At 43.0% G+C, this 17,207-nt stretch overlaps 1 protein-coding gene and 1 long non-coding RNA gene across 2 annotated transcripts in view, besides 2 other annotated features; one reads left to right on the plus strand and one right to left on the minus strand.

The window, feature by feature from the left end:
* The window catches only part of DLGAP2 (DLG associated protein 2), a 970,849-nt gene that overhangs the window by 857,530 nt on the left and 96,112 nt on the right, over positions 1–17,207 (plus strand). The window lies entirely within an intron of this gene.
* The window catches only part of DLGAP2-AS1 (DLGAP2 antisense RNA 1), a 56,156-nt gene that overhangs the window by 29,649 nt on the left and 9,300 nt on the right, over positions 1–17,207 (minus strand). The gene's annotated exons all lie outside the window — the stretch shown is intronic.
* Positions 9,597–10,796: an enhancer, noted in NCBI's record as "CDK7 strongly-dependent group 2 enhancer chr8:1552920-1554119 (GRCh37/hg19 assembly coordinates)". NCBI's record gives its function as "activates an origin of replication core promoter dependent on BRD2, BRD4, P300/CBP, MED14 and CDK7 cofactors, with strong dependence on CDK7, by STARR-seq in HCT116 cells {active_cell/tissue: HCT116}" and the evidence as "EXISTENCE:reporter gene assay evidence [ECO:0000049][PMID:35650434]".
* Positions 12,594–13,147: an enhancer, noted in NCBI's record as "NANOG-H3K27ac-H3K4me1 hESC enhancer chr8:1555917-1556470 (GRCh37/hg19 assembly coordinates)". NCBI's record gives its function as "activates a minimal SCP1, AML or CMV promoter by ChIP-STARR-seq in naive H9 embryonic stem cells {active_cell/tissue: H9 hESC(naive)}" and the evidence as "EXISTENCE:reporter gene assay evidence [ECO:0000049][PMID:30033119]".

Below are 17,207 nucleotides of genomic sequence, written 5' to 3' on the forward strand. Positions count from 1 at the left end.
AACCTCCCGAGTGGCTGGTATTACAGGCACCTGCCATCACACCTGGCTAATTTTTGTATTTTTAGGAGAGACAGGGTTTTGCCATGTTTCCCAGGTTTTACGGGCTTTTTTTAAATATATATAAACTTTTTATTGACAAATAACATAAATAACATACAAAAGAGAAGAAACAATAGGTTCCCACCTCAAAAATCCTCCCAAATACTGAAGTCAAGAAATAGGTCGGCCGGGCGCGGTGGCTCACGCCTGTAATCCCAGCACTTTGGGAGGCCGAGGCGGGTGGATCATGAGGTCAGGAGATCGAGACCATCCTGGCTAACAAGGTGAAACCCCGTCTCTACTAAAAATACAAAAAAAAAATTAGCCGGGCACGGTGGCGGGCGCCTGTAGTCCCAGCTACTCGGGAGGCTGAGGCAGGAGAATGGCGTGAACCCGGGAAGCGGAGCTTGCAGTGAGCCGAGATTGCGCCACTGCAGTCCGCAGTCCCGCCTGGGCGACAGAGCGAGACTCCGTCTCAAAAAAAAAAAAAAAAAAGAAATAGGTCATTCCGGAAGCCCCCAGCGAGCTCCCCACCCAGTTACTCCCTTCTTCCCAAATTCACCACTACCCTGCCTATTATTATTTTTTAACTATAAATATTTATTTAGTAGTCTGAACTAAGTGCTAAATGAAATTGAAATGTATTTTATTCTTTTTTTAATAGTAATTTTTTTTTAATTTTATTATTATTATACTTTAAGTTTTAGGGTACATGTGCACAACGGGCAGGTTTGTTACATATGTATACATGTGCCATGTTGGTGTGCTGTACCCATTAACTCGTCATTTAGCATTAGGTGTAACCCCTAATGCTATCCCTCCCCTAGCTCCCCACCCCCCAACAGGCCCCTGTGTGTGATATTCCCTTCCCTGTGTCCATGGGTTCTCATCGTTCATCTCCCACTTATGAGTGGCAACATGCAGTATTTGGTTTTCTGTTCCTGTGTTAGTTTGCTGAGAATGATGGTTTCCAGCTTCATCCATGTCCCTGCAAAGAACATGAACTCATCCTTTTTTATGGCTGCATAGTATTCCATGGTGTATATGTGCCACATTTTCTTTATGCAGTTTATCATTGATGGTCATTTGGGTTGGTTCCAAGTCTTTGCTATTGTGAATAGTGCTGCAATAAACATACATGTGCATGTGTCTTTATAGTAGAATGATTTGTAATCCTTTGGGTATATACCCAGTAATGGGATTGCTGGGTCAAATTGTATTTCCAGTTCTAGATCCTTGAGGAATCACCACACGGTCTTCCAGAATGGTTGAACTAACTTATACTCCCACCAACAGTGTAAAAGCGTTCCTATTTTTCCTTATCATCTCCAACATCTGTTGTTTCCTGGCTTTTTAATGATCGTCATTCTAACTGGCATCAGATGGTATCTCATTATGGTTTTGATTTGCAGTTCTCTAATGACCAGTGATGATGAGCTTTTTTTCATATGTTTGTTGGCCTCATAAATGTCTTCTTCTGAGAAATGCCTGTTCATATCGTTCACCCACTTTATGATTGGGTTGTTAGGTTTTTTTTTCTTGTAAATTTGTTAAAGTTCCTTGTAGATTCTGGATATTAGCCCTTTGTCAGATAGATAGATTACAAACATTTTCTCCCATTCTGTAGGTTGCCTGATAGTTTCATTTGCTGTGCAGAAGTTATTTACTTTCATTAGATCCCATTTGTCAATTCTGGCTTTTGTTGCCATTGCTCTTGGTGTTTTAGTCATGAAGTCTTTACCAGTGCCTGTGTCCTGAATGGTATTGCCTAGGTTTTCTTCTAGGCTTTTTATGGTTTTAGGTCTTATGTTTAAGTCTTTTATCCATCTTGAGTTAATTTTAGTATAAGGTGTAAGGAAGGAGTCCAGTTTCAGTTTTCTGCATATAGCTAGCCAGTTTTCCCAACAGCATTTATTAAATATGGAATCCTTTCCCCATTGTTTGTTTTTGTCAGGTTTGTCAAAGATCAGATGGTCGTAGATGTGTGGTGTTATTTCTGATGCCTCTGTTCTGTTCCATTGGCCTATGTATCTGTTTTGATACTAGTACCATCCTGTTTGGTTACTGTGGCCTTGTAGTATAGTTTGAAGTCAGCTGGTGTTCTTTGTCAGCTTTGTTCTTTTTGCTTAGGATTGTCTTGGCTATATGGACTCTTTTTTGATTCCATATGAAATTTAAAGTAGTTTTTTTTTTCCTAATTCTGTGAAGAAAGTCAATGGGAGCTTGATGGGGATAGCATGGAATCTGTAAATTACTTTGGGCAGTATGGCCATTTTCACAATATTGGTTCTTCCTATCCATGATCATGGAATGTTTTTCCATTTATTTGTGTCTTCTCTTATTTCCTTGAGTGGTGGTTTGTAGTTCTCCTTGAAGAGGTCCTTCACATCCCTTGTAAGTTGGATTCCTAGGTATTTTATTCTCTTTGTAGCAATTGTGAATGAGAGTTCACTCATGATTTGGCTCTCTGTTTGTCTGTTATTGGTGTACAGGAATGCTTGTGATTTTTGCACATTGATTTTGTATCCCGAGACTTTGCTAAAGTTGCTTATCGGCTTAAGGAGATTTAGGGCTGAGACAATGGGGTTTTCTACATATACAATCATGTCATCTGCAAACAGAGAGAATTTGACTTTCTCTTTTCCTATTTGAATACCTTTTATTTCTTTCTCTTGTCTGATTGTCCTGACCAGAACATCCATCACTATGTTGAATAGGAATGGTGAGACAGGGCATCCCTGTCTTGTGCCAGTTTTCAAAGGGAATGCTTCCAGTTTTTGCCCATTCAGTATGATATTGGCTGTGGGTTTGTCATAAATAGCTCTTATTGAGATACTTCACATCAATACCTAGTTTATTGAGAGCTTTTAGCATGAAGCAGTGTCGAATTTTATTGCAGGCCTTCTCTACATCTGTTGAGATAATCATGTGGTTTTTGTCATTGGTTCTGTTTATGTGATAGATTATGTTTACTGATTTGCATATGTTGAACCAGCCTTGCATCCCAGGGATGAAGCCGACTTGATCGTGGTGGATAAACTTTTTGATGTGCTGCTGTATTCAGTTTGCCAGTATTTTATTGAGGATTTCTGCATCCATGTTCATCAGGGATATAGGCCTGAAGTTTTCTGTTTTTGTTGTGTCTCTGCCAGGTTGTGGTATCAGGATGATGCTGGCCTCATAAAATGAGTTAGAGAGGAGTCCGTCTTTTTCTATTGTTTGGAATAATTTCAGAAGGAATGGTACCAGCTCCTCTTTGTACCTCTGGTAGAATTTGGCTGTGAATCCATCTGATCCTGGGCTTTTTTTTGTTGGTAGGCTATTAATTACTGCCTCAATTTCAGAACTTGTTATTGGTGTATTCAGGGATTTGACTTATTCCTCATTTAGTCTTGGGAGGGTGTATGTTTCCAGGAATGTATCAGTTTCTTCTAGATTTTCTAGTTTATTTGTGTAGAGGTGTTTATAGTGTTCTCTGATTGTAGTTTGTATTTCTGTGGGATCAGTGGTGATCTCCCCTTTATCATTTTTTATTGTGTCTATTTGATTGTTCTCTGTTTTCTTCTTTAATAGTCTGGGTAGTGGTCTATCTATTTTGTTAATCTTTTCAAAAAACCAGCTTCTAGATTCATTGATTTTTTTTGAAGGGTTTTTCATGTCTCTATCTCCTTCAGTTCTTCTCTAATCTGAGTTATTTCTTGTCTTATCTTAGCTTTTGAATTTGTTTGCTCTTGCTTCTCTGGTCCTTTTAATTGTGATTTTAGGGTGTTGATTTTAGATCTTTCCCACTTTCTCCTGTGGGCATTTGGTGCTATAAATTTTGCTCTAAACACTGCTTTAGCTGTGTCCCAGAGATTCTGGTATGTTGTGTCTTTGTTATTGTTGGTTCCAAAGAACTTATTTATTTTTCCCTTAATTTCGTTATTTACCCAGTAGTCATTCAGGAGCAAGTTGTTCAGTTTCCATGTAGTTGTGCAGTTTTGAGTGAGATTCTTAATCCTGAGTTCTAATTTGATTGCACTGTGGTCGGAGAGACTGTTATGATTTCCATCCTTTTGCATTTGCTGAGGAGTGTTTTACTCCCAATTATGTGGTCAGTTTTGGAATAAGTGTGATATGGTGCTGAGAAGAATGTATATTCTGTTGATTTAGGGTGGAGAGTTATGTAGATGTCAATTGGGTCTGCTTGGTCCAGAGCTGAATTGAAGTCCTGAATATCATTGTTAATTTTCTGTCTCATTGATCTAATATTGACAGTGAGGTGTGAAAGTCTCCCATTATTATTGTATGGGAGTCTAAGTCTCTTTGTAGGTCTCTAAGAACTTGATTTATGAATCTGGGTCCTCCTGTATTGGGTGCTCCTGTATTGAGTGCATATATATTTAGGATAGTTAGCTCTTCTTGTTGCGTTGATCCCTTTACGATTATGTGATGCTCTTCTTTGTCTTTTTAGATCGTTGTTGACTTAAAATTTGTCTTATCAGAGACTAGGATTGCAACTCCTGCTTTTTTTGCTTTCCGTTTGCTTGGTAAATATTCCTCCATCCCTTTATTTTGAGCCTATGTGTGTCTTTGTACATGAGATGGGTCTCCTGAATACAGCATACTAATGGGCCTTGACTGTATCCAATTTGCCAGTTTGTGTCTTTTAACTGGGACATTTAGCCTGTTTACATTTAACATTAATATTGTTATATATGAATTTGATCCTGTCATTATGATGCTAGCCGGTTATTTTGCCCATTAATTGATGCAATTTCTTCATAGTGTCGATGGTCTTTACAATTTGGTATGTTTTTGCAGTGGCTGGTACCGGTTTTTGCTTTCCATGTTTAGTGGTTCCTTCAGGAGCTCTTGTAAGGCAGGCCTGGTGGTGATAATATCTCCCAGCATTTGCTTGTGTGTAAAGGATTTTATTTCTCCTTCACTTATGAAGCTTAGTTTGGCTGGATATGAAAATCTGGGTTGAAAATTCTTTTTTTTAAGAATGTTGAATATTGGCACCCACCCTCTTCTAGCTTTTAGCGTGTCTGCAGAGATATCCACTGTTAGTCTAATGGGCTTCCCTTTGTGGGTAACCTGACCTTTCTCTCTGGCTGCCCTTATCATTTTTTCCTTCATTTCAACCTTGGTGAATCCGACGATTATGTGTCTTGGGGTTGCTCTTCTCAAGGAGTAACTTTGTGGTGTTCTCTGTATTTCCTGAATTTGATTGTTGGCCTTTCTTGCTAGGTTGGAGAAGTTCTCCTGGATTATATCCTGAAGAGTGTTTTCCAGCTTGGTTCCATTCTCCCCGTCACTTTCAGGTACATTAATCTAATGTAGGATTGGTCTTTTCACATTGTCCCATATTTCTTGGAGGCTTTGTTTGTTCCTTTTTGTTCTTTTTTCTCCAATCTTGTCTTCACACTTTATTTTAATAAGGTGATGCTTCAATTTCTGATATCCTTTCTTCATTTGATTGATTCAGCTATTGATACTTGTGTATGCTTCACGAAGTTCTCATGCTGCGTTTTTCAGCTCCATCAGGTAATTTATGTTCTTCTCTAAACTGGTTATTCTAGTTAGCAATTCCTGTAACCTTTTTTCAAGGTTCTTAGCTTCCTTGTGTTGGGTTAGAACATACTCCTTTAGCTTGGAGGAGTTTATTACCCACTTTCTGAAACCTACTTCTATAATTTGCCAAACTCATTCTCTGTCCGGTTCTGTTCCCTTGCTGGTGAGGAGTTGTGATCGTTTGGAGGAGAAGAGGCTTTCTGGTTTTTGGAATTTTCAACCTTGTTGTGCTGGTTTTTCCTCATCTTCATGGATTTATCTATCTTTGTTCTTTGATGCTGGTGACTTTCGGATAGGGTTTTGGTGTAGACGTCCTTTTTATTGATGTTGATGCTATTACTTTCTGTTTGATAGTTTTCTTTCTAACCATCAGGCCCCTCTTCTCAGGTCTGCTGGAGTTTGCTAGAGGTCCACTCCAGACCCTGTTTGCCTGGGTATCACCAGTGGAGGTTGCCGAACAGCAAAGATTGCTGCCTGTTCCTTCCTCTGGAAGCTTCGTCCCAGAGGGACTCCTGCCAGATGCCAGCCGGAGCTCTCCTGTGTGATGTGTCTGTTGATCCCTGCTGGGAGATGTCTCCCCATCAGGAGACAAGAGGGTCAGGGGCCCACTTGAGGAGGCACTCTGTGCCTTAGCAGAGCTCGAGCGCTGTGCTGGGAGAGCTGCTGCTCTCTTCAGAGCCGAGAGGCAGAAACGTTTACGTCTGCTGAAGCTGCACCCACAGCCGCCCCTTCCCCCGGGTGCTCTGTCCCAGAGAGATGGGAGTTTTATCTATAAGCCCTGACTGGGGCTGCTGCCTTTCTTTCAGAGATGCCCTGCCCAGAGAGCAGTTTTACAGGCTTTTTACAGACAGATCAGACCGAGTCCCTGAAAACTCCGTGACAGATGTTTGTCACATTGAAAGTAAAATGGAGCCTCTCCGCCTCGGCCCACAAACGTCTCCATTATGAGACCAAGCCTGGTCTGCTCGTTCACCACTCTGGTCTTTAATTTCCTCAAATGCTCAGAGCTCTCTCGTAGCTTAGGGTCTTTGGAGTTGCTGTTTCCTCTCCCTAAATGGTTCCTCTCAATCCTTGCATAATTAGTCATTGAGATATCAGCTTAAATAGCACCTGTTCAGTGAGACATTTTTTTCACCAGGCAATCTGAGGTAGCTATGTAGTCACTTTTGATCCTAAAACCTTAATTTAACAGGGTGTGTGTGTGTGTGTGTGTGTGTGTGTGTGTGTGATCAGCCCGTGCTACCTTCTTGCTTGTGGGGGCCTCTATCCCTCACGAGCTGTCAGTCCTGCTGCCTGCTGCATCCCAGACTTGGGCCATGCAAGCTGCATTGAAGCACTCAGCCCACACTTGTCAAATATGTGAATGAGAGAGTGAGTGAATGTATATGTTCTTAATGCCCAGCATCATTCACAACACATATTCGATATTAATGTTTGTTGAATGGCCCAATATGACAAGAGGAGTAAAAGTGTTTCTAGTAAACAGTGTAAGATAATGTTGTTATTTCTAATTAATGACATTCTAGTAGAAAGTGTAAGACAGTGTTGCTGTTTCTAATTAATGGTGTGCTCTGATGAATCGATGTCACTGAAATGGGGTCTTTCTTTAAAAATGCAGACATGCTTTACAGCCTGGCTGCTTCAAAGTTGGGCATTATTAAGAATCTCCAGCTTTAACAGTGAAAGGCCTATTCCACACAGGGAATATACTGATTCATGCAGCCATGTTGCCCAGAGCTAGCCAGGGCTGGAGGCCCGAATCCACGGAGGCCGGGCCAGGCCACCCCAGCATCAGGCCTCAGGCCTGCCCACCTGCACTGGCTTCATTCAGACCGTCCCAGGCAATGATGAGATGGCACCAGCTACTCCAGGCTGACCCTCTACCAGCTCAGAGACCACCAAGGCAGCAAGGAAGCCCCTCCTTCCCAGGAGTGACAGCAGTTTATTCATTCATTCATTTATTCATCCCACAAGTGTCTCTTGAGCTCCTCCATGTGTCAGGCACTGCTCCAGATGCTCCCCAATGTCGTGGGCATGGCAGGCAGTGACAGCTCTCATGCTTCCCATGCTGTCACAGAGGAGGACAGATAATAAGCAGTAAACATGACAGGTGATCAGTAATAAAAAGTGAAGTGTGTAGCACCCTAAAGGTGTCGAGTGCCGCGAGGGAAAATTCAACAGAATGAGGGGGTCTGTAAGGGTGGAAGGCTGGCTCTCAGTTCTGCAGAGGCTGGATAGAGTGGAGGCTGGGTCTCAGTTCTGCAGAGGCTGGTTAGAGCGGAGGCTGGGTCTGAGTTCTGCAGAGCTTGGTTAGGGTGGAAGCTGGGTCTCAGTTCTGCAGAGGCTGGTTAGAGTGGAGGCTGGGTCTCAGTTCTCCACAGGCTGGTTAGAGTGGAGGCTGGGTCTCAGTTCTACAGAGGCTGGTTAGAGTGGAGGCTGGGTCTCAGTTCTGCAGAGCTGGTTAGAGTGGAGGCTGGGTCTCAGTTCTACAGAGGCTGGTTAGAGTGGAGGCTGGGTCTCAGTTCTGTAGAGGCTGGTTAGAGTGGAGGATGGGTCTCAGTTCTACAGAGGCTGGTTAGAGTGGAGGCTGGGTCTCAGTTCCATAGAGGCTGGTTAGAATGGAGGCTGGGTCTCAGTTCTGTAGAGGCTGGTTAGAGTGGAGGCTGGGTCTCAGTTCTACAGAGGCTGGTTAGAGTGGAGGCTGGGTCTCAGTTCTGTAGAGGCTGGTTAGAGTGGAGGATGGGTCTCAGTTCCATAGAGGCTGGTTAGAGTGGAGTCTGGGTCTCAGTTCTGCAGAGCTTGGTTAGGGTGGAAGGTGGGTCTCAGTTCTGCAGAGGCTGGTTAGAGTGGAGGCTGGGTCTCAGTTCTGTAGAGGCTGGTTAGAGTGGAGGCTGGGTCTTCATTCTTTTGGGTTGTGCCAGCAAGGCCATGACATCTCCTCCACACTGTGATGGGCTCAGCATCCAGCTCATAGTAGTTGGAACAGTCAGTATTTCTGTCTCAGGGATTATTTATCTAAGGGACTGGGGCTGAGGAGGGATCTGCAGGCTTCTAAACCTGACCACATCATCCTCCCCATGCGTCCTGCTGGCAGGAGACCACCGTTCAATATTTGACCACTTAATATTTGGTGAGATTCCATGCAAATTACTAAACTCAAGTTGCCTCCGTATGAGGAGTTTTCTGAGTCCTGCAGCTCCAACCCCCACCTCCCCACATACCCCAGCCACCGCGTCGGCACCTCTCCTCAAGTCAAGCCAGCTGCGGCCACACATTTCCATTCTGATGCCCAAGACACAGCTGGGACAGAACACATTCTTAAAGACACTTAAGTGAACAGGCACAAAGATGAATGACCCTTCTTCATTTTGTGGACACTGCAGACACTGTTCACATATGGCCGTTATCGACATGGATTCAGAAATCATTTTCCTGGAAACATTGCTAGGTAACTGCGGGAGAAGGGACCTTGCTATAAATGCACTGGAGTTTGCTGAAAATGTAAATACGAATTTTATCTCCTAACACCAGGGAGAGATGTTTCACTAGGGTGTTCATTATGATTTGCAAATGAAATGGACAAAATTCAGATTCTCTAAACAGTACCTCAGTGGGGCATCCTATCCCTCCATCCAAATAGATCCATGTTTCTCAAAGTGTGGTCTGGCCCATAGACCACCAGGAATGGAATCACCTAGAATGTTTATTTAAAATTTGGATTTGGGGCTGACCTCACCCTTCTAAATTCCATCTCCGGGGATGCGATCCAGGAATCAACATTACATGCAAGCACTCAGGAGATCGTGATACAGGAATCTATATTACATGCAAGCACACAGGAGACCGTGATCCTGGAATCTATATTACATACTAGCATGCGGAAGACCGTGATCCAGGAATCTACATTACATGCAAGCACGCAGGAGACTGTGATCCAGATTGGGATTTGCAAAACCATCCAATGAATGTCTTCTTGTTGCTCCGACACCAGCCTTTAAATGTAAAGTGACAACAGTCAAAAATATTTATAAAGAAAAAAGCAATGTACTTGTTAAAAAAAAAACTCAAACATAAATGGCTTAGATGTAAATAATAATGAAGATACCACAGGCAGAATCATAGCTTCTCTGTGATAGGCCAGCCGTTAGAATCGCTGAGCTTAGCATCTACCAGGAGCTGCTGCAGAAAAGGTCTGATGTCTTGTGTCGTGTGTGGAGTACTTGTGGTGTAACAGGATAAAGATAGTGCAGTCGCTTTGTTGTTAGAAGCAACAGCACCAGAAGCCAGGCGGGGCACACCACCCTGCAGCCAACCTCGGTGCCATCGGCTCACCTGACCTCATCGGCCCCTGAGGATGCAGGCCAGGCACCATCATTGCTTCCACTGCCGAAAGAGGAAACAGTGGGTGAGCAACATCCGTGACTTACCCAGGTTCATACGGTGAGGATGCACAGAACCGAATGCAAGCCCCAGATCCGGACCTCCTGACCTCCACTCCTGTGTTCTGGACACAGCTCCCTACTACTCAGGGGAGTGGACCAATTTGAGCCGAAGATGGTTACCTACTTGATTCGCACTTCCGTCGCCACACAAGTGATACAGCAGGGCTCTCAGAGTGCGTGCCTCTGAGATGCTTGAGAAGCAAAGTGGTCTCCATATTCCCCTGACGTCTTCTGTTCGTGACTTGAAGGAAGCAGATGATCACAAGAGTCTCTGGTGAATGCGTGAATCCAGGGCTCTAGTGAGTGCGGCCTGTCCTTTGTGCATGAGCTTTAGAAACGTGCTACATTCTTGTGGGCCTAAGTGCCTCTTTAGGATGAAATCTTTTCAATTAGCAATCAAAGACTTTTATACCCTGCCCCTTTCCATGGTTGTCCCCTCCAGCAAATCTGTGATCCCGCTGATGTTACCTTCCCTGTTATAAGGAAGAAAACAGAGAATGCAGCGTTTGCTAACTGTCCGAGCCCACAGCGTCCATGATGGGGTGAGAACCGAAGCCAGCAGCTCCCCACTCTGGAAGTAAACTGTTGACTCATTTCCGTGTTTGTCTGAATTATTAGTTTATCATATAGTTGTAATAATCCATGGCAAATGTTTAAAATATGCCACAAAAGCAACACATGCCAAATTTGGAATCAGAAGGTCTTCAGGCTCAAATCTCAGCTCGAGCTCGTGCTGTAGAACGTGTCACCTCTGAGTGAAGACTTTCTCTTCTTGTTAAAGCAAGGTTAATTATAATACCTTCCGCAGAGAATCATAACCAGCACCAAATCAGAGGCGAAGAATGAAAGTATTTGTGGAAAATGAATTATCGTTAACTCTGCTGCCCCAGAGCTCCCTCACTGTCCTTCCTTGAGGCCCAAGAGAAAAGACGAACTGAAGGTACCAGTGGGTTTTTTTTGAAAATTTGCTTCAAGTCTACATTCTGAACGTACGGTTCATTTCAACTTTCAGATGACATAAAGCTAAATAGAGTGCTCTTCGTATCTTATTTTCCTCCTTTATTGAGTTATGATTTAAGAACCATACAATTCATCCACTTGAAGTACAATTCAGTGGTTCTTAGTTTATTTATGGACTTGCGCGAACATCAGTGCAATCCATTTTAGAACATAAACTTTACACCAAAAAGAAACCCTGTACCGTCACTCCCCACTTCCCCTAACTCCTCCAACCCCTGGCAACCACGAACCTGCATTCTCCCTGTCGTGGCCATGGAACCCCACAATACTGTATCTTTGTGTCTGGCTTCTAGCATAACGTTTTCAACATTGATCCACATTGCAGCATGTGTCAGAACTGCAATTCTTTTTATGATGGAAGCATATTCCATTGTATGGATAGACCACAGTTTATTTACCCATCCATCATGGATGTATACTTAGGTTGTTTCCTTTTGGAGGCTATTATGAATAATTCTGCTATGACCATTATTCTGTTTGTTTTCTGAGATGAGGTCTCACTCTGTTGCCCAGGCTGGAGTGCAGTGGCACAATCTCGGCTCACTACAACCTCCGCCCCCTGAGCTCAAGGAATCCTCCCTCCTCAGTGACCCCAAGTAGCTGGGTCCACAGATGTACACCACCACACCCAGCTAAGTTTTTGTATTTTTGGTAGAGACGAGATTTCATCATGTTGCCCAGGCTAGTCTCAAACTCCTAAGCTCGAGAGATCCACCTACCGCAGCCTCCCAAAGTGCTGGGATTACAGGCGTGAGCCACAGCACCCGGCCTCCTGTATGAGTTTTATGTGGACACACATTTTCATTTCTCCTGGGCATATACCAAGGAGTGGAGATGCTGGGTCCTTGATAACTCAATGTTTGACCTTTTGAGGAACTCCCAGACTGTTTTTCAAAGTGGCTGTACTACATATAATATTAAATAACATAAATTAGTTGCATATGTAACATTATATTATTGTATTGTTTTCATATACATATGTTTATATAAAAATTATCCATCATTCTTTAAAATCTGACTTATATTCTTTAATCTCTAAAGATTTACAGAGACACAGTTTTATAGCAAGAGCAGATTTTTCATCTATCTTAAAATGTGTATGTTCATCAGTATGGATATACTGACACCCATATCCTGGAGGACAAATGATTGGAGGATTTCCATAATGCTCATCACATCTGTTCTGACGTTTAAGTCACTGTCCTTTCTCAAAGGAAATCTAATTTATACTCCTTAGCACAATATTGCTATCTTTTCTTAGAAATACATTTCACAGTTGAAATATAAAGCAATTTGAGGAAAATAAGATTTTTAGAAAGACATCGGGCCTGTGTAAATATATCCTTTAGAAAATTGACTTCAGAGCGTGAGCGACGCAGAAGACGGGTGATTTCTGCATTTCCATCTGAGGTACCGGGTTCATCTCACTAGGGAGTGCCAGACAGTGGGCGCAGGCCAGTGGGTGCGCGCACCGGGCGCGAGCCGAAGCAGGGCGAGGCATTGCCTCACCTGGGAAGCGCAAGGGGTCAGGGAGTTCCCTTTCTGAGTCAAAGAAAGGGGTGACGGACGCACCTGGAAAATCGGGTCACTCCCACCCGAATATTGCGCTTTTCAGACCGGCTTAAAAAACGGCGCACCACGAGACTATATCCCACACCTGGCTCGGAGGGTCCTACGCCCACGGAATCTCGCTGATTGCTAGCACAGCAGTCTGAGATCAAACTGCAAGGCGGCAGCGAGGCTGGGGGAGGGGCGCCCGCCATTGCCCAGGCTTGCTTAGGTAAACAAAGCAGCCGGGAAGCTCGAACTGGGTGGAGCCCACCACAGCTCAAGGAGGCCTGCCTGCCTCTGTAGGCTCCACCTCTGGGGGCAGGGCACAGACAAACAAAAAGACAGCAGTAACCTCTGCAGACTTAAATGTCCCTGTCTGACAGCTTTGAAGAGAGCAGTGGTTCTCCCAGCACGCAGCTGGAGATCTGAGAACGGGCGGACTGCCTCCTCAAGTGGGTCCCTGACCCCTGACCCCCGAGCAGCCTAACTGGGAGGCACCCCCCAGCAGGGGCACACTGACACCTCACACGGCAGGGTATTCCAACAGACCTGCAGCTGAGGGTGCTGTCTGTTAGAAGGAAAACTAACAAACAGAAAGGACATCCACACCGAAAACCCATCTGTACATCACCATCATCAAAGACCAAAAGTAGATAAAACCACAAAGATGGGGAAAAAACAGAACAGAAAAACTGGAAACTCTAAAACGCAGAGCGCCTCTCCTCCTCCAAAGGAACGCAGTTCCTCACCAGCAACGGAACAAAGCTGGATGGAGAATGACTTTGACGAGCTGAGAGAAGAAGGCTTCAGACGATCAAATTACTCTGAGCTACGGGAGGACATTCAAACCAAAGGCAAAGAAGTGGAAAACTTTGAAAAAAATTTAGAAGAATGTATAACTAGAATAACCAATACAGAGAAGTGCTTAAAGGAGCTGATGGAGCTGAAAACCAAGGCTCGAGAACTACGTGAAGAATGCAGAAGCCTCAGGAGCCGATGCGATCAACTGGAAGAAAGGGTATCAGCAGTGGAAGATGAAATGAATGAAATGAAGCGAGAAGGGAAGGTTAGAGAAAAAAGAATAAAAAGAAATGAGCAAAGCCTCCAAGAAATATGGGACTATGTGAAAAGACCAAATCTACGTCTGATTGGTGTACCTGAAAGTGATGGGGCGAATGGAACCAAGTTGGAAAACACTCTACAGGATATTATCCAGGAGAACTTCCCCAATCTAGCAAGGCAGGCCAACATTCAGATTCAGGAAATACAGAGAACGCCACAAAGATACTCCTCGAGAAGAGCAACTCCAAGACACATAATTGTCAGATTCACCAAAATGGAAATGAAGGAAAAAATGTTAAGGGCAGCCAGAGAGAAAGGTCGGGTTACCCTCAAAGGGAAGCCCATCAGACTAACAGCGGATCTCTCGGCAGAAACCCTACAAGCCAGAAGAGAGTGGGGGCCAATATTCAACATTCTTGAAGAAAAGAATTTTCAACCCAGAATTTCATATCCAGCCAAACTAAGCTTCATAAGTGAAGGAGAAATAAAATACTTTACAGACAAGCAAATGCTGAGAGATTTTGTCACCACCAGGCCTGCCCTAAAAGAGCTCCTGAAGGAAGCGCTAAACATGGAAAGGAACGACCGGTACCAGCTGCTGCAAAATCATGCCAAAATGTAAAGACCATCGAGACTAGGAAGAAACTGCATCAACTAACGAGCAAAATCACCAGCTAACAACATAATGACAGGATCAAATTCACACATAATATTAACTTTAAATGTAAATGGACTAAATGCTCCAATTAAAAGACACAGACTGGCAAGTTGGATAAAGAGTCAAGACCCATCAGTGTGCTGTATTCAGGAAACCCATCTCACGTGCAGAGACACACATAGGCTCAAAATAAAAGGATGGAGGAAGATCTACCAAGCAAATGGAAAACAAAAAAAGGCAGGGGTTGCAATCCTAGTCTCTGATAAAACAGACTTTAAACCAACAAAGATCAAAAGAGACAAAGAAGGCCATTACATAATGGTAAAGGGATCAATTCAACAAGAGGAGCTAACTATCCTAAATATATATGCACCCAATACGGGAGCACCCAGATTCATAAAGCAAGTCCTGAGTGACCTACAAAGAGACTTAGACTCCCACACATTAATAATGGGAGACTTTAACACCCCACTGTCAACATTAGACAGATCAACGAGACAGAAAGTTAACAAGGATACCCAGGAATTGAACTCAGCTCTGTACCAAGCGGACCTAATAGACATCTACAGAACTCTCCACCCCAAATCAACAGAATATACATTTTTTTCAGCACCACACCACACCTATTCCAAAATTGACCACATAGTTGGAAGTAAAGCTCTCCTCAGCAAATGTGAAAGAACAGAAATTATAACAAACTATCTCTCAGACCACAGTGCAATGAAACTAGAACTCAGGATTAAGAATCTCACTCAAAACTGCTCAACTACATGGAAACTAAACAACCTGCTCCTGAATGACTACTGGGTACATAACGAAATGAAGGCAGAAATAAAGATGTTCTTTGAAACCAACGAGAACAAAGACACAACAAACCAGAATCTCTGGGACGCATTCAAAGCAGTGTGTAGAGGGAAATTTATAGCACTGAATGCCCACAAGAGAAAGCAGGAAAGATCCAAAATTGACACCCTAACATCACAATTAAAAGAACTAGAAAAGCAAGAGCAAACACATTCAAAAGCTAGCAGAAGGCAAGAAATAACTAAAATCAGAGCAGAACTGAAGGAAATAGAGACACAAAAAACCCTTCAAAAAATCAATGAATCCAGGAGCTGGTTTTTTGAAAGGATCAACAAAATTGATAGACCGCTAGCAAGACTAATAAAGAAAAAAAGAGAGAAGAATCAAATAGACACAATAAAAAATGATAAAGGGGATATCACCACCGATCCCACAGAAATACAAACTACCATCAGAGAATACTACAAACACCTCTACGCAAATAAACTAGAAAATCTAGAAGAAATTAATAAATTGCTCGACACATACACTGTCCCAAGACTAAACCAGGAAGAAGTTGAATCTCTGAATAGACCAATAACAGGAGCTGAAATTGTGGCAATAATCAATAGTTTACCAACCAAAAAGAGTCCAGGACAAGATGGATTCACAGCCGAATTCTACCAGAGGTACAAGGAGGAACTGGTACCATTCCTTCTGAAACTATTCCAATCAATAGAAAAAGAGGAAATCCTCCCTAACTCATTTTATGAGGCCAGCATCATTCTGATACCAAAGCCGGGCAGAGACACAACCAAAAAAGAGAATTTTAGACCAATATCCTTGATGAACATCGATGCAAAAATCCTCAATAAAATACTGGCAAACCGAATCCAGCAGCACATCAAAAAGCTTATCCACCATGATCAAGTGGGCTTCTTCCCTGGGATGCAAGGCTGGTTCAATATACGCAAATCAATAAATGTAATCCAGCATATAAACAGAGCCAAAGACAAAAACCACATGATTATCTCAATAGATGCAGAAAAAGCCTTTGACAAAATTCAACAACCCTTCATGCTAAAAACTCTCAATAAATTAGGTATTGATGGGACGTATTTCAAAATAATAAGAGCTATCTATGACAAACCCACAGCCAATATCATACTGAATGGGCAAAAACTGGAAGCATTCCCTTTGAAAACTGGCACAAGACAGGGATGCCCTCTCTCACCGCTCCTATTCAACATAGTGTTGGAAGTTCTGGCCAGGACAATCAGGCAGGAGAAGGAAATAAAGGGTATTCAATTAGGAAAAGAGGAAGTCAAATTGTCCCTGTTTGCAGATGACATGATTGTTTATCTAGAAAACCCCATCGTCTCAGCCCAAAATCTCCTTAAGCTGATAAGCAACTTCAGCAAAGTCTCAGGATACAAAATCAATGTACAAAAATCACAAGCATTCTTATACACCAGCAACAGACAAACAGAGAGCCAAATCATGAGTGAACTCCCATTCACAATTGCTTCAAAGAGAATAAAATACCTAGGAATCCAACTTACAAGGGATGTGAAGGACCTCTTCAAGGAGAACTACAAACCACTGCTCAAGGAAATAAAAGAGGATACAAACAAATGGAAGAACATTCCATGCTCATGGGTAGGAAGAATCAATATCGTGAAAATGGCCATACTGCCCAAGGTAATTTACAGATTCAATGCCATCCCCATCAAGCTACCAATGACTTTCTTCACAGAATTGGAAAAAACTACTTTAAAGTTCATATGGAACCAAAAAAGAGCCCGCATCACCAAGTCAATCCTAAGCCAAAAGAACAAAGCTGGAGGCATCACACTACCTGACTTCAAACTATACTACAAGGCTACAGTAACCAAAACAGCATGGTACTGGTACCAAAACAGAGATATAGATCAATGGAACAGAACAGAGCCCTCAGAAATAACACCGCATACCTACAACTATCTGATCTTTGACAAACCTGAGAAAAACAAGCAATGGGGAAAGGATTCCCTATTTAATAAATGGTGCTGGGAAAACTGGCTAGCCATATGGAGAAAGCTGAAACTGGATCCCTT

Source organism: Homo sapiens, chromosome 8 (assembly GCF_000001405.40).
Source record: "Homo sapiens chromosome 8, GRCh38.p14 Primary Assembly".
NCBI lineage: Eukaryota > Metazoa > Chordata > Mammalia > Primates > Hominidae > Homo > Homo sapiens.